This window comes from Homo sapiens, chromosome 18 (genome assembly GCF_000001405.40).
Source record: "Homo sapiens chromosome 18, GRCh38.p14 Primary Assembly".
NCBI classification, from domain to species: Eukaryota; Metazoa; Chordata; class Mammalia; order Primates; family Hominidae; genus Homo; species Homo sapiens.
In genome coordinates this window covers 7,106,193-7,129,736 of record NC_000018.10, presented here as the reverse complement: position 1 = coordinate 7,129,736, position 23,544 = coordinate 7,106,193, and the positions used below count along the sequence as shown (strand labels likewise).

General features: G+C 46.1%; 1 protein-coding gene across 1 annotated transcript in view; it reads left to right on the top strand.

The window, feature by feature from the left end:
* LAMA1 (laminin subunit alpha 1) overlaps window positions 11,940-23,544 on the top strand; it is a 176,056-nt gene continuing 164,451 nt past the window's right edge. The window contains exon 1 of the mRNA NM_005559.4: window positions 11,940-12,077. Within this exon, the coding sequence (NP_005550.2) occupies window positions 12,017-12,077 (61 nt within the window). The 5' untranslated portion in view covers window positions 11,940-12,016. The remainder of the gene's footprint in view (window positions 12,078-23,544) is intronic.

Here is a 23,544-nt window from a genome sequence, read left to right as displayed (position 1 = left end):
CTCACACCTGTAATCCCAGCACTTTGGGAGGCTGAGGCAGGTGGATCACTTCAGGTCAGGAGTTTGAGACCAGCCTGGCCAACATGGTGAAACCCGGTCTCTACTAAAAATACAAAAAGTAGCTGGGTGGCTGGGCGCGGTGGCTGACACCTGTAATCCCAGCACTTTGGGAGGCGGAGGCGGGCGGATCATGAGGTCAGGAGATCAAGACCATCCTGGCTAACATGGTGAAACCCCGTATCTACTAAAAAAAATACAAAAAAATTAGCCGGGCGTGGTGGCGGGTGCCTGTATTCCCAGCTACTTGGGAGGCTGAGGCAGGAGAATGGCGTGAACCCGGAAGACGGAGCTTGCAGTGAGCCGAGATTGCGCCGCTGCACTCCAGCCTGGGTGACAGAGCAAGACTCCGTCTCAAAAAAAAAAACAAAAGTAGCCAGGCATGGTGGCCTGTGCCTGTAGTCCCAGCTACTCAGGAGGCTAAGACAGGAGAATTGCTTGAACTTGGGAGGCAGAGCCAAGATCATGCCACTGTACTCCAGCCTGGGTGATACAGTGAGACTCCTCAAAAAAAAAAAAAAAAAAAAGAATTGATAATAATTTCACATTGCCTCTGCCTCAAGCTCAAATTCCTTACCCCTGGTTTCTCCCTACACATATGGTTTACCTGTAGGATTCAAACATATCTCCCACATCTCACTAATTGCTCCATGCAAAGGGTCCTTTCTTAGTCCAATATCTCCATAGACAGATCCTGAGGCAAAGATGAAAATGCTGATGGTATACGCTTTGAGACATGCAAATCCATGGCAACGAAGAAGAAAATGAGGAGAGAGATGGGGAGCAACCTAGAGTGATGTGTGACTGCCTAATGCTGCTTCAAGGGAAGAAACCCAGCATGGACTTGGCAGGCGTGTCTGCACCCTGGACTTGTCCAAGTGGGCTGCTAGGAGAAACTGGGCCTGGCAGAGGTGCATAGTAGAGAGAAAAAGGAGAACTTCAGTCTAGCTCTCTCCCTCTTCTATTTCTCATTGGTCAAAATTCATCCCATGGGGAGTAAACTGACCCCCACTTCTGGGTTTCATCATCTGTCCCACTCTATTGCTACTTAGGGTGCCAGATTGTACACAGTGTGGCGTGGTGTTTCACCTAAGCCCATAAGTGTAGGAAGGAGGAGAAACTCCAATAACAGACAAGAAGCCAGACAGGAGAGCCCAACAGCCCCAGGGTGGGGGCCCATCAGATCTGCATCTCATACAGCCTGCCTATGGATCTGCTCCATCCAAACATTTCCAGTGTTGTCTCTATGCCCCTGCCAAAGTGATTCCCCACAACTTTTTCTGTTTTGTTGTGCCTTTCAAAATTAGACTTATCCTGCATTGACTGCTGGCTTTTCACCCCCTTCGTGGAGCTCTTCCTGTCCACCTGTGGAAGACAGGTGCCATCTTGCTTGTTGGCCAGCAGCACCCTCCTCCTCTCAGCACCCCCTTCTCTGTCTGGGGGAGGATTCCCCATGGGTAAAACCTTGCTTTCCTCTTTCTCACTCCCAGCTCCTACTGTGGAAGAGAAGGGAAGGTCAAGGCTTCTTCACTGCCTACCTGGGGCACACAATATAAGCTCAGCCAATCAGTGACTGGCTCTCCAGGCTCTGAGCCTTGAGCTGGTGAAACAAAGATGCAGAGAACATTTGAAGGTCAGACAGCTCCGGGTGCTGCAGTCTGCTTCAGCTAGACTGTTTTTGGTGGGTGACCTTGGCCGTGGATTCTGCTGCATAGCATCTGTGACTCTCTTGGTTCCTGTTTTCCAAGCCCTCCTCTCCAAGTTCCCATGGATTCTATGATCCCCATTCTCCCTGCTGTGACATCCCTCTGATTAACTTGCCTTTGTTTAAGGTGGCCAGAGGCAGCTTTTGTTCTTGTGACTTAGAACTGTTCATACTTAGCAGGTTGCATTACTTTCTGCCACCTTAGGACTTTTATACCATTTGGAGCTAGTTTATGAAACATGCTTAGCGTAACGCCTGGAACACAGTAAACACACAACTGCAACCAAACTACATTATTGTCAAAATCAACAAATATTTGTCAAGTTTTAGACACCGTGGGGGAGTGGGAAAACTAAATAAACTTAGAAGGAGCATATGTGTCTTCTTTAATGGGAAAAGTATGTTTATAAAATCAACAACAGTTGCAACAGAGATTGAATTACAGAGGGCGTCGGGTCCACAAGGGAGCAAGTGGTTGGTGAGTTCTGGAACAATCATAGAAGGCTTCCTGGGGGAGGAGACGTTTGACCTGGGTGCTGAAGAAAGACCAGGAATTCAAAGGTGGAGAAAGGAAGGGCTGGGCATCACACATAGTGGGAAACGCAGCTGAGCTCTGAAAGGATGGGGCTGCTCAGTGGGAAAGTGAACAGTTTAGGGTAGGGAGTGTGATTGCCTGGCAATTCTAAAGTCCCCTTAATGACCGTGGGCAGGAGTTGAAATGAGATGGGTCAGCATGATTCTCTAGCCGCCTTCAGTGGCCATGGTGCAGTCCATCTTCTCCCATATTCTGCTTAAATCTCCAACTCCACCTGCACCATGGTGGAGTTGGAGATTTAAGCAGAGTAAGTGAGACAATCGGTGTAAAGTATGATTTGAAGATTCAATACATGATAACTGTTATTATCCTGTCATTACTACTTCTTTTTTTTTTTGAGATAGAGTCTTGCTCTGTCGCTCAGGCTGGAGTGCAGTGGTGCAATCTCGGCTCACTGCAACCTCTGCCTCCCGGGTTCAAACAATTCTCATGCATTAGCCTCCCAAGTAGGTGGGAATGGAGGCGCCTACCACAATGCGTGGCTAATTTTTTGTATTTTAGTAGAGACAGGGTTCTAGCATGTTACCCAGGGTGCGCCCAGGCAATCCGCCCATCTAGGCCTCCCAAAATGCTGGGATTACAGGCGTGAGCCACTGCGTCCAGCCAGTGACTACCATTTCTAGCAAAAGATGCGGTTATTTACATTTTACAGAGGAGGGAAACTGAGACTCAGAAAAGCTAACTGACCTGTTGAAACGTCAAATCGCTAACAATTTCTAGAGCTACAATTTTAATTTCAGTCTTCTGACCTTCACATATCCAATGTGTTGCTTCTCAAGATTAAATGAGATCCTGTAAAATGCTTTCTGATGAAAGAATATTGTCTTTTCAGGCAACTGATCCTATTACTTAGTAACATCTTCTTCCTAAAATTTGAATATTGTCCTTGCCACTAAGCCAATGCCAGGTTTACGAGTTATTTAACTCAAATTTGGCTTCTTGATGATGAGTCTGGAGATATGTCATAAAATGACACAAGTGCGGATCGAGAGTCAAACACGAAGAAAAGAAGCTCTTAGAGAACCTAAAGTGTAAAATATTGTAGAATATTTGCCTCCATCGGGAACAAATAGTAGAAGAAATTAGTAAAAAGCTGAAGGAAGGTTGGGCGCTGTGGCTCATGCCTGTAATCCCAGCACTTTGGGAGGCCGAGGTGGGCGGATCACAAGGTCAGGAGTTCAAGACCAGCCTGGCCAATATGATGAAAACCCATCTCTACTAAAAATACAAAAATTAGCTGGGTGTGGTGCATGCCTGTAGTCCTAGCTACTCGGGAGGCTGAAGTGGGAGGATCATTTGAACTGGGAGGTGGAGGTTGCAGTGAGCCGAGATTGAGCCACTGCACTCCAGCCTGAGTGACAGAGCAAGACTCCGTCTCAAGAAAAAAAAAAGGCTGGGCACGGTGGCTCATGCCTGTAATCCCAGCACTGTGGGAGGCTGACGCAGGCGGATCACGAGGTCAGGAGATTGAGACTATCCCGGCTAACATGGTGAAACCCCATCTCTACTAAAAATACAAAAAACTAGCCGGGCGTGGTGGCAGTCACCTGTAATCACAGCTACTCGGGAGGCTGAGGCAGGAGAATGGTGTGAACCCAGGAGGCAGAGCTTGCAGTGAGCCAAGATCATGCCACTGCACTCCAGCCTGGGCGACAGAGCGAGACTCCATCTCAAAACACAAAACACAAAACAAAACTGAAGGAAGCTCCAATAATAGTGAGCGGTGTAATACAAGTGACACAATGACAAGTATCTTCATAAACATGTATTTCTGACTTTCTAGATAATTGGTGTCCACCTATAAAGTTCTTATTTTCGGGGGCTAGGCCCAGTGGCTTTGGGATGCTGAGGCGTGTGGATCACGAGGTCAGGAGTTCGAGACCTGGACCAACATAATGAAACCCCATCTCTAAAAATATATACAAAAATTAGCTGAGCACAGTGGTGCACGCCTGTAGTCCCAGCTACTCGGGAGGCTGAGGCAGGAGAATCACTTGAACCTGGGAAGCAGAGGTTGCAGTGAGCCAAGATAGCGCCACTGTACTCCGGCCTGGGTGACACAGTGAGACTCCATCTCAAAAAAATAAAAAAATAAAAATAATTAAAAAATAAAATAAAAAATTCGTATTTGCTGCTACCGTTGCAAACTTCGCTTTCGAAGTCTGACTTTCCTGTTGAAAGGCTGCATTGTTACAGATACCCAGCAGGCAGGGATGTCCTGCAGAGTCCTGGGGACAAATGCTGTCTACATGTCAGTATGAACAGCTGTCTTCTAGACCCCTCCAATTTGGCTTCCTCTTCCTCTATAAAAGAAAAACACACTCACCAAGTTCCTTAAGGACCAAATCCCTGCCAAAACCAATTTTTAAAAGTCTTTTTAGTTTTTGATATAGCTGGTTGCTATTTTCTTGTAACCTCCATCCACTCCTTGGCTTTAGGGAGATGCCCTTTCCTAGCTCACGTCTCCCCTTTGGGTCTCTAGCGCTTCTTTCTACATAAATAAGAAGACAGATAATAGTTCATCTCTTTGCAAATGTCCAACTGCCTTTTGTAACCATGTGTTGAAAAGCTCCATTAGAGCCAAACATTATCGTCTTATGGCAACTGTACAACACTCTTCCTAACCCATGGTGATGAAGATGATATCATAGAAGAAACTAATTATCGAATGTTTACTTGATGCCAGGAACTACGCTAACAATTCTGTGTTCATTATGTCATTCAATTCTCACCTTTTGATATACATCTTATTTTTATTCCCATTTTGTAGTAAAATGGGGATATTTTATAGTAAAGTGAGTAAACTGAGGACAAGTTAAATAATTTTCCACAAATCACCCAATCAAGTAAACGTGAGAGCTGGTATTCGGTCCCAGGCAGTTTGATTCCTGTATTTTTTAACCACTGCTTTTTCTTGCGTAACATCTTTGTTAAATCCTATTTAAATGTATTTTTTACATTATGCTCTGGAAATTCAGCTATGTAAATGTAAAATACTACAAGCCCCTTGAGAAGAGATTAAATGTCAAAAGGCAAACGCTGCCTGGTGCTGTGGCACATACCTGTAGTCTCAACTACACTGCAGGCTGAGGCAGGAGAATGTTTATGTTCCCCCCAAATTCATGTGTTGAAGCCCTTTTCCTCAGTGTGGCTGAATTTGGAAATGGGACCTCTGAGAAAGTGATTAAGGTTAAATGAGGTAGTAAGAATGGGGCTCTGATCCAATAGGATTTGTGTTCTTGTAAGAAGAGACACTTATGAAAGCTTGCTCTTTGTCTCCACCACGTGAGGTCACAGTGAGAAGGTGGCTGCCTGCAAGCCAGGAAGAGAGCCCTCACCAGAAACTGAATGCTGCCAGACCTTGATTTGGGACTTTCAGCCTCCAGAACTATAAGAAAATAAGTTTCTGCTGTTTAAGCCTCCCAGCCTGTGATATTTTGTTACAGCAGCCTGGGCAGACTAATACAGATTTAAATCTAGCTTTGAGGCAGGCTGGCAATGCAGTGCCCACCTGGTGATCTACCTGGGTGACTAAGTGCTCAGAAGAACAGGAGCCTGGATTTTGAGAGGCAACCAGCAGTCTGTTACCTAGGGCTATAAACAGAGTTCTGCCTATCACTTTATAGCCACTTTGTCCAAATTGTTCCCAGAGTTTATGGCACAACTTGCATGAAAACCAAAGCTTATAAACATCATGAATAGCAATTTTGTCCCTCTCCAGACGCCATGTTCTCCATTGCTATCCTCTGAGACCTCTATTCTTCCTTCTCTTTTTTCCAGTATTTCAGGTAATTCTTTCAAATTCTTCTATCTTCTGCTCTTTATCACGGGCACAAATGGAATCTTCAGGCTCTACTTCAATCCTAATATAGATACTCATTTTTCCCCCTAACTTCATCTCCACTTGCTTCCTGGGAGTAGTCTTTGCCTAATGTATTAGTTCCCTACTGCTACTGTAACAAATTATCACACACTTCTTGACATAAAACAATACAAACTATAAGATAACAATTTGTATTGTTATCTTATAGTTCCGGAATTCCAAAGTCCAAAATGGGTTTCACCTGGGCAAACTCAAGGTGTCCTTACAGCTGGCTCTTTCTGGAGGCTCTAGGGGAAGATCTGTGTCCTTGCCTTCCCAGGATCTAGAAGCTGCTCACATTCCAGGACTCATGATCCCCACCCCCATCTTCAAAGCCAGCAATGGCTGGTTGAGTCCTTCTCGCATTGAATCACCGAGTCTTCCTCTCCTACTCTCTCTTTCACTTATGAAGACTTCTACTGATTACATTAGTCCGCTTGGCAAATACTAGATAATCTCCTCATCTTAAGACTCTTATTTAATCACATCTGCAAAGTGCCTTTTGTCATGTAATATAATGTATTTCCAGGTTCCAGCCATTAGGACATGGGACACGCACCTTTGAGGGACCATTTTTGCCTCCCACCTCCAATTTGCTTTCATTGACTGCTAGTCCTTCCAGCCCTCACCCCTGCCTAAAGCGAAGGGTCTCAACCACCTTATTTCTAGCCACGAGACCTTAAGGAGCTTTTCCTATGGTCAGCCCCTCTAACTTTGTCCTAGATGAGACTCTGACACCATAACCAATTCTAGTAACTGACCTCTTGCCTCTATCCTTGTAACCAAGCCCCTAGCTTTACATCCAGGCCTTCTGCCTGGATCCCGGTGTGATGCTCCTGTGCCTAAGTCTCTGCCTTGTATCTCAGTCCTTTAGAACTAAGAGGCAGCCTTGCTTGTACTAACTCTCCAGAGAAACGGTCCTGTCCTGTATTCTGGGCACCGTGGCTGGATCCCTGCTATGTGGGTGTCAGGATACGAGGAAAAACACTTGCCAGGCCAGGCTTCTTGCCAGGCCAGAGTGACCACACTCTGAATGTGGCTCCCCCAGCCTGCTCAGCCACCAATGACCAGAACCTGGATTTTCTACATGCAGGAGCAGGTCAGTCTAGCTGTGTTTCTGAAACTTTGCTTCACATTAGAATTACCTGGAGATCATTAGAAATATCTAGATGTCCAAGCTGTACCCCATACCAATTGAATCATAATCTATCGGGGTGGAAACCAGAATCAGTATTTTTTAAATTCCTCCACTGATTTCAGTTTGCAAACAAGATGGAGAACAAGCAAGCAAGCTATGTGCTGGTCAAGATGTGCTCTGCCTATCCGCAGCATCAGCATCATGGGGAGCTTGTTAGAAATGCAGGAACTCAGGCCTGCAACCCAGAACTATTGAACTAGAATCTGGATTTCAACAGGATCACCCAAGGGATTTGAAAGCTCCAATTTAGCTCAGCCTGTGTGAGCCCTGGTTTTGAAAATGGTCATAATTAAGCTTTTTTTTTTTTATGTTAAAAAATATAATAGTATTAGTGAAATTACTGAAATACAAATTCATATTCCAGCACTTTGGGAGGCTGAGGTGGGCAGATCACTTGAGCTCAGGAGTTCAAGACCAGCTTGGACAACATGGCAAAACCCATCTCTGCCCCCGAAAAAGAAAAGTAATCAAAATAATAATACAAAGATTAGCTGAGTGTGGCAGTGTGCGCCTGTAGTCCCAGCTACTCAAGAGCTCAAGAGGCTGAGGTGGTCTACCATTGAGCTCAGGAGGTTGAGGCTGCAGTGAGCCAACATCATGCCACTGCACTCCAGCCTAGGTGACAGAATGTCTCCTAGACATTCTGTCTAAAAAAAAAAAAAAAGAAAGAAAAAAGAATTCATTCATCTTTATTATCATTTGACATGTGCAAGGCAGAGTGCTGGTGACTTCCATACATTGGCTCATTTAATGCTTACAATAAGCCTTCTTTTTTTTTCTTTCTGGAGACGGAGTCTTGCTCCGTCATGCAGGCTGGAGCGCAGTGGCCTGATCTTGGCTCACTGCAAGCTCCGCCTCCCGGGTTCATGCCATTCTCCTGCCTCAGCCTCCTGAGTAGCTGGGACTACAGGTGCCCGCCACCACGCCCGGCTACTTTTTTGTATTTTTAGTAGAGATGGGATTTCACCGTGTTAGCCAGGATGGTCTCGATCTCCTGACCTTGTGATCCACCCGCCTCAGCCTCCCAAAGTGCTGGGATTACAGGGGTGAGCCACGGCGCCCTGCCATACAATAAGCCGTCTTAGCAAAACTTTCCCAAACTGCCCAATCGGTACCTGGTCCTCCCATTCTTTATCTAAGTAACCAGATATTTCCTTGATGGCACTTATTAAATTTATGATTATTTTTTCTTTTTTCTGCCTTAACCATCAGACTGCATGCTCCACATGGTGGGAAATGTCATACGTCTTTCTCATTTCATGGTATATCCCTAGCACTGGCACTTAGCAGCCACTTAAAAAATGTTTATTGAATGAATGAAGTAGGCACCATTGCTATCTCTATTTTACAGAGGAGGAACTTGCCCAAGATGTCACTGCTAGTAAGCGTGGGGAAAGAATGTGAACCATCGCTGAGCCCAGCCTGAGCTTTTCTTCACTATCTAAAACATCCATACCTCTACCCATCTTCTGACCACCTGAACAAAACTGTTTACTTCTGTATGTTGGTTTTCTAGTTCCTTGTTTGCACATGTGCTTTTTAAAAATTATTATTATTATTATTTTGAGATGGAGTTTTGCTCTTGTTGTCCAGACTGGAGTGCAATGGCATGATCTCGGCTCACTGCAGCCTCTGCCTCCCGGGTTCAAGCAATTCTCCTGCCTCAGCGTCCCAAGTAGCTGGGATTACAGGAATCCGCCACCACGCCCGGCTAATTTTTGTATTTTTGGAAGAGATGGGGTTTCATCATGTTGACCAGGCTGGTCTCGAACTCCTAACCTCAGGTGATCTGCCCGTCTTGGCCTCCCAAAGTGCTGAGATTACAGGCTTGAGCCACCACTCCTGGCCACATGTGCTTATTTTATATACATAATTGTAATCAGAATGTCTATGTTATTTGGAATGTTGCATTTCTTAACATATGAGTTGTTTTTCATTGCAGAGTTTCACAATTCAAAAGTAGCTACATAATAGCCTGTTACATTGATTTATAAAGTACTTAACCATTTAAACTATCGCTTGACATTTAGGCATTTTCAATTGTTCATTATTTATAGGTGACTTTGAAGCAAGGATCTTTTTGTGTCCAGTTGAGTTGAATTTTTACTTTCTCACAAAATGTGAACATTCTTGTTATACTCATTTTCAACTTGAACAAGCCAGCCCTGCACTTTCATAGGGCTCTAGGTAATTTAGATATTTTCCAAGCATGCTAAAGATTGGAAAAATTTGTACTGCAGGGTTTTTAGAAGATGTGTAGAATTATGACATTTTTACTGCTGCATTTTATCCAAGTTTGTTCTGAATTCTTTTCATTGAAATCTTTTCTGCTTAATTTTGAGCAGTGATAAATAGTGCCAATTTGTAACTTTTGATGCTTCCTATTCACTCCCCAGAGGTGCTGACCACTTGCCTCCCTTGAAATTACACACGTGAGATCCCTGCTTGCAGTTCAAAGATAAGGTCCCATTGACCTCCTGCCTGAATTTCTAGGAACCCAGGATATGGGGAGACCCAGAATATGGGGACACCCCTTGTGATTCCTCCAGTGTGGTTTTTTTTTTTTTTTTTTTTGAGACGGAGTCTTGCTCTGTCGCCCAGGCGGGGGTGCAGTGGCGCTATCCTGGCTCACTGCAAGCTCCGCCTCCCGGGTTCACACCATTCTCCTGTCTCAGCCTCCCGAGTAGCTGGGACTACAGGCGCCTGCCACCGCCCCCCGGCTAATTTTTTGTATTTTTAGTGGAGACGGGGTTTCACCGCGTTAGCCAGGATGGTCTCGATCTCCTGACCTCAGGTGATCCACCCGCCTCGGCCTCCCAAAGTGCTGGGATTACAGGCGTTAGCCACCACCTCCAAGTTTGCTTTTGATCAACATCCTCTGTGATTTCAGCGTGGTGTTGTAAAGGACTATGGACTAGAAACCAGACATGGGGTCTAGCTCTAGACCAGACATTTGCTGACACTGAGAACTCACTTCCTTATCTCCTGGCAAGCATCTCATAGAGTTGTGAAGATCCCAAAAGATAATCTATATGAATGCTAGGTCTGTGTGTGCAGTTATTTCAGTGCATAAATGCTTATAATTCTGCATTTTAATAGCTATGTGCCTAATACTATAATATTTGATCATTTATTAAATACTAAGTTTACTTATTTAATAATTACTTAGTAACATTTTAATAGTTACGAACGTCTGCATTTTAAATTTAGTACTGTATGGAGTATTCACTGAACTATATTGCATCCTTTTAAAACGGCCAAACTATCATTTTGTTCCATGATTTTTAAAAATTAATCGATGGCTAAGTACTATAACTAAGTTCTACTCACTAGATGTGTAAGGAAGTGTCCTCAGAAAAACAGGAATTGATAGAGTTGTCAAATAGATTCACACAAGTGAGAGGAAATTATCTTCCTATCAAGAAAAAAAAACCCTGCAAAATAAGATGGTGGGATGATAATGAGATATTGTCCCTGTATATTTATATTGAGAAAATGTGAAATCTACAAAGTGTTATGAATACCTTTTTTTTCTTTTTTGAGACAGAGTCTCGCTCTGTCGCCCAGGCTGGAGTGCAGCTGGTGTGATCTCAGCTCACTGCAACCTCCCACTCCCGGGTTCAAGCAATTCTCCTGCCTCAGCCTCCCAAGTAGCTGGGACTGCAAGCGCGTGCCACCACACCCAGCTAATTTTTGTATGTTTTTAGTAGAGACGAGGTTTCACCATGATGGCCAGGCTGGTTTCGAACTCCTGACCTCAAGTGATCCACCCGCCTCGGCCTCCCAAAGTGCTGGAATTACAGGCGTGAGCCACTGCACCCATCCAATACTTTTGATAGAAAAAAAAAATCAGAGGAAATTAAAAATTCTTTATCGGGGACCAGACATAGTTTTAAAATAATAATAATTATAATAACAGCAGTTGAAGTTGCGTGTCAGGAGCGCGTCCTCTCTCTCCAGCAGTAAGGGTATCTAATTATAATAATTAAGTCCAAGTGACCTTGCCTTCTTTAGGCAAACAAAGTCGGGAACAAGTTGCAACTCATTTTCAGAAAAAATCCTCAAGTCCTCTGCCCACGGCGGAAAGGGCGGCGGGTCGGCCGAGCCTGGGTGGCTTCCCGAGGGGTCGCCTCTCGCCCAGCTCCTGGCAGGGGCGCGTGGGTCCTGGCCCGGGGACTGCAGGGCCGCGGCGGGGCGGGCAGGGTCAGCTGGGCACATAGTTTCTCGGAATCCACCCTCCCGGACCCCCGCAGCCCAGTTTCTCCTCCCCTCAGCCCACCTTCTCTGCCCACCTCCTACCCGGAGCCGGGGAGGCGGCCGCGGTCAGCCCGGCCTCCCCGACTTGGGGTCCGCGTGCGCCGGGACCCAGAGGCCAAGCTGGGCGCCCCCGGGGGAGGGGTCTGGGTGGCGGGGCCAAGCCGGGGCGGGACGGGGCGGGGCGGGGCGCAGCCGAGGGGTGTGTCCGAGGGCGGCTGGAGGGAGGGGCGGCAGGACTCCAGGAGCGGCGGGGCCAGGGCAGCGCGGACTCGCGTCCCGTGGAGCGTTCCAGGCGGGCGCGCGGCTTTCTCCCCAGACCCACCGAGTGGCGGCGGAGGCGAGATGCGCGGGGGCGTGCTCCTGGTCTTGCTGCTGTGTGTCGCCGCGCAGTGCCGGCAGAGAGGTGAGCCCGGCCCGGGTCCTAGGGTCCCTGTCCCCCGCAGGCGGGCGGGCGGGGGCGGCCGCGGACAAAGCCCGTCGCGTTGGGGCTGCTGGAGTCCGGGCGCGCATCCTGATCCACCTCGGAGTGGGTGTCTCGGCCACGTGGGTCTCCCGCGCTTGCCGGGGAGGGCTGGATGGGGACGCCGCTCCTGCCGGACGCTGCCCGCTCTTTGCAGGCTTAGGCTTTAACCTCCTCGGGCTTTGGGGTTAAAGCCCAGCCTCGCCTCTGGCTTTTGCGGGACTTCGCGACCCAGGAGCGCCATCTACGCGAGCAGTGCTGGGGGTGGCGGGAGCGGGGCGCCCGGAGCGGGGCGCCGGGGGTTGCTTTTAGTGCCCCGGCTGCGCGGGCGGGGGTGGCGGGGCTGTTGGCCGGGCGCGGGGGATGAATGGAGAAAGAGCTCTCCCGAGTCGCCCTCATTGTCCGGCTGCGCAAGCTGGGTCGCGGCGGCCGGGAAAGGGCGGATTCCTCGGGGCCCCTGGCAGCCAAGCGGGCTAGTGGGGAGAGACGCGGCGAGAAGGGCGCCCCTAGCCAGCCGTCCCGGGCAGGGGGACCCGCAGGCGGCGTCCAGGGCACTGATGCGCCTTCCCGACCCGCGCTTTTTGTGCAATAGGCGAAGTGGCCAAACCCGCTCATTCACTGCGCGGGATTGACCGTGGGCGCGCCGGGGCGAGGGACCAGCGGAGAAGGGAGCACCTTGCATGCGCGTTGCAAGGATTGAGAAGAGAAACTCAGAGCGAATTTTCATTTTCTGTTTTTGCGGGCGGGCGGAAAGAGAGAGAGAGAGAAGAAAGAAAGAGAGAGAGAAAGAGAAAAGAAAGAGAGAGAAAGAAAGAAAAAGAAAGAAAGAATTCTTTTCCCTTTTGGGGGACAACCCTAGTCACCCACGCCACCCCTAGAGCTGTCTTCGCAGCGTGGCTTCGTGTTGGCTAGGCAGTCACAAATATTTGTTGAAAACATCTTAATGTATGCAGCACATGACAATGGGCGTATTCCCACGAATATAAACTTCATTAAAAAAAAATTCGAGTCAAAAGTAGTGGGCGGAATTTGCAGTGCCCTCGTGGGAAACGTGTGTTTGGGCATTGTGCTGAGTTGTGAGCTCTGCAGAAACGCGACCATCTCATTCATTCAAGCATTCATGATGGAAGCACTGGACCGGAGCTGGAAACGCAGCATTGAATAGCTGCGAGTCTGCTGCGCAGAGCCAGGCTGGGAAGAGGGAATTTACATAGTTATCAGCCAGAAGAAAGGAGCCTTTGGGGAGGGAGAGGAGCCTTAAAGGATTGCGAGGGGACTCCTGTCTATCAGGCTGCTGAAGGTGAACAAGTCCCGGTTTCCCACAGGGTAGAGAAAGAGCAGCTTGCCTCAGCTTATTGTTCCCCGAAATTGAAAGTCTTAGACTGAGGAGATGGCCTGAAGGTTGTCCTGGCCCCTCGGGGCTCGGCACTTGGCCTGGCGGTTATGAGTGGTTTTTGGAGAAAGTGGGACCTCATGGGGCTTTCCTGCTTTGAGATGCTGCGGAAAACCTCCCAGGGCAGGAGCCCTTTAATGTTTCATATCGCATTCCCTGTTTGCCTTTTTGCCTTCCGCACCCCACCAACCCTCACCCTTCCTAACTAGCCTCCTTGAGCAGTTTTGATTTTTTTTTTTTGCAGTCTCCGGGCTGCAGGCAGGAGTGGAGTGGCACCATCTCGGCTCACTGCGACCTCCGCCTCCCGGGTTCAAACAATTCTGCCTCAGCCTCCCGAGTAGCTGGGACTACAGGCGCGTGCCACCACGCCCGGCTATTTTTTTTTTTTTTTTTTTGTATTTTTAGTGGAGACAGGGTTTCACCATATTGGCCAGGCTGGTCTCAAACTCCTGACCTCGTGATCAGCCCACCTCGGCCTCCCAAAGTGCTGGGTTTGCAGGCGTGAGCCGCCGCGCCCGGCCTGATTTTTTTTTTTTTTTTAAGAAACGATTTTGTGCCCCATGAATAGCATGAATGATTTGTAAAGTTGTGTGTTTTGGTCAATAATCCTGACCTGCAAATCACCTGCTAGTTAGTTGTCTGGTGTTATTTTTTAAAATAACTTATTATCTATTGACATTCAGATTGTTAGACGTTCCCTGTCATTTCTGCAGTCTCTCTGGGTTACCTTACAGCTCATAGTATATGACCTGATGGCTCACTTTCCTTTGAAATTTAATGAGTTTCAAGTGAGCTCCTCCTAAGTATTGAATAGGACGTATTGTGTTTGTAAAAATAATGTGTTAAATTCATAGCTGGCAATCACATAAAATTATGGTTGCTTCATCACTTTTGTTGGAAACTATCCCTTCTTTTTTTCTAAAATAGACAATTCTAAGGACAGAAAAAAATCTACAAGAAAATTCACTTCATTCTCATATATGACATAGTATTCAAATTTAGCAAGTATGTGCTCCACAGTAAAGTATGCATGCCTGAATGGATTTCAGAGGTGCGTTTTTTCTTTTCTGTCACTGTATTCTCTAAGGGCCCATGAAAAATATTGATCGTAGCAGTTGGAAACAAGGGTATGTGTAACAGAAGCCTCACTGCCCACCTCCTACATAGCCTGGACTTTAGTCCATTCTTTTTTTCCTTCTTCTTTTCCAGACATTAAATATGAAGCCTACATCTGTAGTTAATCTAGCATGATTGAGAATTCAAATGCATCAAGAATATTAGAATAAATACATATACTGATCTTTAGTGTCTTGTGCCACTGCTTTATAATTGCACTGCTTTATAAACTCATATAAAATGCTTCTGGGACCATTTATTTCAGGGTAATGATCCTTGAAATGCCCTACCATTTTATACTAATTCATTCATAAAATCCTATGGATATTCATTTTCATGTACAGTAAATTGTTATGGGGAAATAACACAAGGTCTGTCTTTAAGCTTCAGGTGTTTAATTCTCTGGCTTTACTAGCTATGGCAAATTGGGGACATAACGTGTGTTTTAGTTTCACTGTCTGTAAAATGGGAATAATAATAGTGCCTACCTGAAAGGGATGTTAATGATTAAATGAAATAATGTGAGAAAAGTTGTTAGACCAGTATCTAGTACAGAGTTAACCCTCAACAAGCAAGTTTATTTATGTTCATCACTGTTACTATTTTATAAAGAACTATATATTTTTAAACTATATTCTCCAAAATGCATAATTGTTTAGAAATTTGAAGTCTGGATTTGGAATCAAATAGTCTTGGGCTCAAATGCCAGACCTGTCACTTTAATTAGCTATGGCCATGGCTAAGTTTCTTAACTTCTCTGAATGTCAGCTTTCTATCTATAAAATGGATAGCATTGATACTATTAAATAATATGTGAAAAATATTAGCACAGTGTAGGGTGTGTCATAGGTACTCAGTGCATGATGGTTATTACTGTTACACCTATTGTACTTGCTCATCATCCTGGACATCATCTCTCTTTCATTGCTGAAATCCATTTGGTCATTGAGACTTATTGATTTTACCTCCTGAAAATCTGTGTAGTCTCTTTCCCTTTTTTCTTTTTTTTTTTTTTTTGAGACGGAGTCTCGCTCTGTCGCCCAGGCTGGAGTGCAGTGGCACGATCTCGGCTCACTGCAAGCTCCGCCTCCCAGGTTCACGCCATTCTCCTGCCTCAGCCTCCTGAGTAGCTGGGACTACAGGCGCCCGCCACCACGCCCAGCTAATTTTTTGTATTCTTTAGTAGAGACGGGGTTTCACCATGTTAGCCAGGATGGTCTCGATCTCATGACCTGGTGATCCACCCACCTCGGCCTCCCAAAGTGTTGGTATTACAGGAGTGAGCCACTGCCCCCGGCCTCTTTCCCATTTTTTATTCTCACTGCTGGCTAGACTTAGGAATTGTTTGTTTTTCTCAGGTTGTTTGTTTTTCTCAGGAAATAGTGTGATGGTTCACTCAGCAGGCCAGCAGCCTCACCTGTTCTCCCTCCTCAGCAGTGCCATCACTGTGATGTTTCTAGAAACACCATCTCGATAACCGCTCCTACTCTTGTTTAAAATTCTTCCCATTTCTCACCGTTTCTTTATCAAATTACTTAATGTTCCCCAATGTGACTTACTTTCCTTCATGTTTAAGCAAGTGGTCTTCTTCCAAGGTGTGCCCTTTTCACTCCACATCCTTCTCCAGGGCCCACCCTATAAGTTTAGATTATGTGCCCCAAACCCCTCACTTTATAAGATGCACAAAATGACAGTGTCCTGCTGTGTCACATTGGGGGTAAAGCAAGGAGGCTGGGACCCCAGCTGGCCTGCTGTCTCAGAGCTGAGAGGCATTATCTGGGATACGCCTGCACCTATTTGTAGCTAACTAATGTTTCCTGGCACATGGGCTCTTAAGTGCCGGACACATCTTTCATTTGGGTTCTAAAGAACCCTGGAAAATCTTCCCAGCTCTCTCTCTGCTGAAGTATTTGTTAGACAACCTTCCCTGTACTCACAGGGCTTTCCCTGCTCAATGCTATTGTCTTGCCTGTCATGGGGCCAATGACTTATCTGGCTCACCTTCTCTCTCGGCCTTGTCAAGGGCAGGGACTGTTTTATGCATATCTGTTCATTGCTTTGCAGTGTTTCTAGCAGTTAGTAGCCACTTCTTGTTGTTGAGCTAAGTTGAAATGAACATCTTTATTTAGGAATCAAGTAACTTTAAAAATATTTTGAATAGCTGGGCGCAGTGGCTCACGCCTGTAATCCCAGCACTTTGGGAGGCCGAGGCAGGTGGGTCACATGAGGTCGGGAGTTCAAGACCAGACTGACCAACATGGAGAAACCCCATCTCTACCAAAAATACAAAATTAGCCAGGCGTGGTGGTGGGGCCTGTAATCCCAGCTACTCAGGAGGCTGAGGCAGGAGAATTGCTTGAACCCTGGAGGCGGAAGTTGTGGTGAGCCGAGATCGTGCCATTGCATTCCAGCCTGGGCAACAAGAGTGAAACTCTGTCTCAAAAAAAAAAAATGTATATATATATATAAAATACATATATGTGTGTATATATATATATTTTAATAGATAATCCACATTTATGGTATGAAATGCAAAAGGTACTATAGGTAGAAAAAAGTTAAGACTTGGCTTTTTTACTCTCTTTTGAGGTAACCACTGGCTTTAATTTTTTGGATAAGCGTCTAAAGATGTTTCTTCAGGTAACTTTTAAAAGCAAGCTACATCATAAAATCTACTTCTTCCCTATTAGTGTAAGAGGGACACCAGTGATTTTCTGCCAAAACATGGATGCATGGAACAGTATCCCTCTGTCCACTGTCCTCCCCTCATACTAACTTCTTTACTGGACCTTGTGCTGGATATTAACACATCATTTAGTAAATGTATGTACTTGCAAACTTTTCACCTTGCAACTTGTCCTTCCAAGTAGGGCTTTGACAGAAAGGTATTGTTAGAGCAGTGTTTCCTAGATCTTTTGGGGTTTAAAAACTTGATTGATTTCATGGCATTGTACTACTTCTAAAAGTATTGTTTACTATAGTATTAATAAGCTATTTTTAAGCCATAGAGAATTTTAAAAAATATATTTTAGAATTTTAAGATTTATGATATAGAGAAGTTGAGTTTGAGAACAATTCTATTACACGTTAAGGATAAGTTAATGTATTGACCAATAAGTATGACTTATTACTGGAACACTATGGCAGGTACAGAAAATATGTATTTAAAAAAATTTCTAATGAAGAAGTTAAGTCTACACCTTGAATACAGAAATTAATTGATAGCGACTGGACAGAACTGTGGAACTTAGACCTTAGCTGAAGTTTTTCGTTACATTCTTCAGAAATATTTGGATGAACTAGATAAACTATCATCTCCTAAGAATGATGTATGTAGTTACTTACAAGTTTGCAAATAATTCTTTTACTTGTTTTATTTCTAAAATATCAATATGCATCCATGGACAATTGAATAAACCAAGGCATTGCAAAATTAACGAGGAGGAAAAACCCTTCATAGAAGTAATTTAGTTAAGGTCATGAACTTTGGTTCTGTTGGAACACGTCTGTCAGGGAGCTATTTCAGCATAAAACGCCACACGATAGCTGGATTCATTGTATTTTCATGTCCTTTATACTGGGTGTGACAGTGCCCAGAGTAACCATTTGATAATAAATAGCACAGAATCTTCCCACTTGTGTCTTTGTTTTCTCAAGGCTGGCTCAGGAGAGCTTTCTTTGGGTTAACTTGTTCCTCATCTTGCTTGGGGGCAGGAGGCAGACAATGGAGGCAGAGAGATTCCAAATCAGCTTGGGTAGATAACATTCTTGCCTAGGTAAGCATTTATCTCGAAGTGTTAATTCAGAAATGGTGGCAGAGAAATACCACTGTGAAATCACCAGTGTGACTTCAGTGTGCGTGCACATTTTTTTTTTAATCAACCATTTGAAGTTTGAATCTCTTCATTCCAGAAGTTATCTTTGAAGTCTGATCTGCTGGCCCAGCAGGCAGTATGACTGACATTCTTGTGCCAGAGAACCTCCTGTATTGCTGGTGGGAATGTCAAATTTAGATCAATGAGTATTTATGGAAAGTGCCATCTTTTCTCATTCCCGAAAGTATTTCCTGCATCTTGTTCCATTGCTCCATAGTTTCCTGCCAGAACTTCAGGAGATTCTCTATGACAATAGCAGTGTTAAAGAAGATGCTTAAATTTAGCAGATGATTTTTAGTTAAAAGAGAACAATTAGAAGTGGGGGGGGGGAGGGAAAAAAAACCCTCACACCACAGTTGATTATGGTACACCATACTTTTTTCTTTGTTTTTTCCTTTGACATGGAGTCTCACTCTGTTGCCCAGGCTGGCGTGCAGTGGCTCAATGTCTGCTGACTGCAACCTCCGCCTCCCAGTTCAAGCGATTCTCCTGCCTCAGCCTCCTGAGTAGCTGGGATTATAGGCGCCCACCACCATGCCAGGCTAATTTTTATATTTTTAGTAGATATGGGGTTTTGCCGTGTTGGCCAGGCTGGTCTCGAACTCCTGATCTCAAGTGATCCGCCTGCCTTAGCCTCTCAAAGTGCTGAGATTACAGGAATGAGCCACCATGTCCAGCCTACACCACACATTTAAATGTCTTCCAACCTTTTGGTAATGACAGAATTTTACCCACAACAAGTGGAATCTTGTTATCTCCAGCTCAGGACAAGGAATTCGTTCTTTCTCCAGATGGCTGCCCTCCCTGTTTCTCCTGTTCTTGGCATTCTTTTGGTTACCTAGGCTTCATTTCCTTTTCTGTTTTTCTTTTTCTGTATCCCCTTATCCAAATTGTCTCTCTTAATTTTGTTTCTTTCCTTGAAAAACTTCCTGATCTTTTTGTTTTAGTTTCTCTCTGTTAGCACTGCAAATGCCACCAGCCTCTAAACCAGCTGCTATAGTGTAACTAGCCGCTTTTTTTTTTTTGGCAGCGGGTGGGGGGATGGAGTCTTGCTCTGTCACCCAGGCTGGAGTGCAGTAGCGTGATCTCGGCTCACTGAAACCTCTGCCTCCTGGGTTCAAGCGATTCTTCTGCCTCAGCCTCCCGAGTAGCTGGGATCACAGGTGCGCGCCACTACACCCTGCTAATTTTTGTATTTTAGTAGAAACAGGGTTTTATCATGTTGGCCAGGATGGTCTCGATCTCCTGACCTTGTGATCCACCCGCCTTGGCCTCCCAAAGTGCTGGGATTACAGGCGTGAGCCACCGCACCCGGCCAGCCGGCTGCTTTTTATCGGGTCTGTGATGCTAGCTCGTGTCCTTTCATTTAATCCAGTCCCACACTGCAGTTAGAGTAACCCCGCCAAAATACCGCCTTCGTAATGTTCTCCCTCTGCTCCTGCCCACCTGCTATGGCCCTCAGTGATCCCTCCAAGTTCAGTCACCCCGCCCTTCTCCACACCTTTCTGTAGCTGAACTATTAGCTTCCATTGCAGGGGTCTCCTTCCTGTCTAACTGCACGTGGTATATTGACTTGCAGCTGTGTGATTTGGTTACATGACTCTCTCACCTGAAATGTACTCCCGTTTCCCACTGAAAACCTAACCAGACCACTCATGCACAGGCTGCAATATACCAACCCCAGGACAGCCTCGATGTGATGGCCTGTTTCAACTGTCTCACTTCTGAATCTGCATTGTATTTTGTGATAAATTGGAGTTCCCACCCAGCCAAAGTTGCCATCCGGTCCTCTTTTGAATGGCTGGTCCAGAATGACATGAGCCAGTGTCAAAAAGAAGGGACATTTCTGTTTCGAAGATCAAAACCTTAGCTCCCGGCATTTCTTTGAATACACAGACAACCCCAGGGGGGTTCTAGCATTAAAACCTGGGTCATTAGTAGCCGGAGGGCAGTAACACCGAGGAACTCCCCACAGGTAGTCAGGTTGCCTGAGCAACCATAAAGCCGGTCCCCGGACTCTGGATAACAAACCCAGCCCTGGCACCTCTCTGGGTATGTGGTCCTTCAGCCTCTTAGACTTTGTATCATCCAATCAAATGGATTGCAGTTGATTTGATCTGGGTAGGAACCAAAATCTGTGTTTCAAAAAACCTTTTCCCATTTTGTATCCAGAGGCACAAGAACCTTTCCAGTTGGTCTTCAAGCAGACCCTTTGGGTTTCTGGTTCAAATAGTTGTTTCCAGAACTCTTCCTGCCACTGCTTGCTTTCTGTCCTTGCTGCTGTGTCCTGTGATGGGCTAGCACTCTTTCCCCACCCGTCAAAATCCACAGTTTGTCTCTTCAGCCCTTTTATCTGAATCTCCAACTCTGCCATTTTTACCTTTGCTTTTGTACAAACTAAGTTTTTCCAACTCTTTGCAACTTCACCCCTGGCTTCATGGGCATACTTTTGTTCATTCTAGAAGTTTGGAGTGGGGAGAACTGGAGATAATGCATCCACATATGAATGCTTTTGGAAGCTCCCAGTGTTTTTCTTTAAAAGGGAGTTAGCTTTTTTTTTTTTTTTTTTTTTTTTTTTGAGACAGAGTCTGTCTCAGTGCAGTGGCATGGTCTCGGCTCACTGCAACCTCTGCCTTCCGGGTTCAAGCAATTCTCTTGCCTCAGCCTCCTGAGTAGCTGGGAATGGCCTGCCACCACACCCAGCTAATTTTTGTATTTTTAGTAGAGACAGGGTTTCACCATGTTGGCGGGGCTGGTCTTGAACTCCTGACCTCAAGTGATCTGCCTGCCTCAGCCTCCCAAAGTGCTGGGATTACAGGTATGAGCCACCATGCCTAGCTGGGAGTTAGCATTTTATTTTTATATTTATTTTTTTGAGACAGAGTCTCGCTCTGTTGCCTAGGCTGAAGTGGTGGAGTGCAGTGGTGCCATCTCGGCTCACAGAAACCTCTGCCTCCCAGGTTCAAGTGATTCTCCTGCCTCAGCCTCTTGAGTAGCTGGGACTACAGGCACACACCGCCATGCCTGGCTAATTTTTGTATTTTTAGTAGAGACGGAGTTTCACTATGTTGGTCAGGGTTGTCTCGAACTCCTGACCTCGTGATCCACCTGCCTTGGCCTCCCAAAGTGCTGGGATTAGAGGTGTGAGCCACCGAGAGAGTTAGCATTTTTTCTTTTCTTTTTTTTTTTGTTATTTTTTTTATTTGAGACGGAGTCTCGCTCTGTCGCCCAGGCTGGAGTGCAGTGGCGCGATCTTGGCTCACTGCAAGCTCTGCCTCCCAGATTCACGCCATTCTCCTGCCTCAGCCTCCAGAGTAGCTGGGACTACAGGCACCCGCCACCAGGCCCGGCTAATTTTTTGTATTTTTAGTAGAGACGGGGTTTCACCATGGTAGCCAGGACGGTCTCAATCTCCTGACCTCGTGATCTGCCCGCCTCAGCCTCCCAAAGTGCTGGGATTACAGGTGTGAGCCACTGAGAAAGTATTTTAGAGTTAACACCTCATTGGAGAGGAGAATAGTATTTCCTTATAGGAGTATTGTCATTTCTATTCAGTTTTTAAATTTTTTTTCATGCACTTGATCATTCATTTATTCACTCATTCATCCATGCACTGAAGACACTTTGGGACCTCCACTCCTCCAGGCCCTGGGTCAAGGATGTTCAAAGGTAGTGTGTCTGGAGAGCCCTGTTCTCGGCTGCCTTCCTCACTGTGAATCCAGGACACTTCTTGGCATTCTTAGTGTATTTGTTTTTGAAGTCCAAGGAACTGAAAAGTGCATATATCAAAAGGAGTTTTCTGGCTGGGGGCGGTGGCTCACGCCTGTAATCTCAGCACTTTGGGAGGCGGAGGCGGGTGGATCACGAGGTCAGGAGATGGAGACCATCCTGGCTAACACAGTGAAACTCCGTCTCCACTAAAAATACAAAAAATTAGCCGGGCGTGGTGGCGGGTGCCTGTAGTCCTAGCTACTCAGGAGGCAGAGGCAGGAGAATGGCGTGAACCCGGCAGGCGGAGCTTGCAGTGAGCCAGGATCACGCCACTGCACTTCAGCCTGGGTGACAGAGTGAGACTCCGTCTCAAAAAAAAAAAAAAAGGAGTTTTCTCCATAAGAAATGATGATCAAGTAAGGAGTTAAAGTCATAGGAGTGGACATTGCCATCTACGTTCTGCTTGCTCATATTCATGTAAGTTAGGGGTGAAATGAGTAGTCCAGGTCATGGGTCGAGGAAAGCGGGGGAGGAGGGGCAGAGGCGTGCAGCACTGGCTGGCTGCTTTATTGGAGGTGCGGGGTCAGCTTCTACATCATATGCCACTGTTGGTGGGTGGTGGCTGTTTCCCTTAGGCTTCCTTTCTTCCATGGAGAACTCAGAGTCACCTGCTTGGCCAGCACTTCTGTGTGTGTCAGAAGAGCAGACTCAAACAGTGACACAGAAGTTCCCTCTGTGGGCTGCACATTAAATTTCAATAATATCAATACCCAGGTCTTACTCCCAGGGATTATAGTGTGTCCGGTCTGGGGTGGGGGTCATATCATTTGCATTTTAAAAATGCTTCTGGCCGGGCGCGGTGGCTCACGCCTGTAATCCCAGCACTTTGGGAGGGGCCAAGGCGGGTGGATCACGAGGTCAAGAGCTCGAAACCATCATGACCAACATGGTGAAACCCCGAATCTACTAAAAATACAAAAATTAGCTGGGAGTGGTGGTGCACACCTGTAGTCCGAGCTACTTGGGAGGCTGAGGCAGGAGAATCACTTGAACCCAGGAGGTGGAGGTTGTAGTGAGCTGAGATTACGCCACTGCACTCCAGCCTGGCGACAGAGTGAGACTCTGTCTCAAAAAAAAAAAAAAAATGCTTCCCAGGTGATTCCACTGTGCAGCCAGGGTTGAGAACCACTCAGTTAACATCATAAACTTTGTAGGTGAATGCAGTTTACACAGCAATGCAAGGAGGCAGGATCTGCCACCATCCCTCGCTTTGTCTGTAGGGTGCAAGTTGGGGCATTGATCCCGTCCTGCCCAC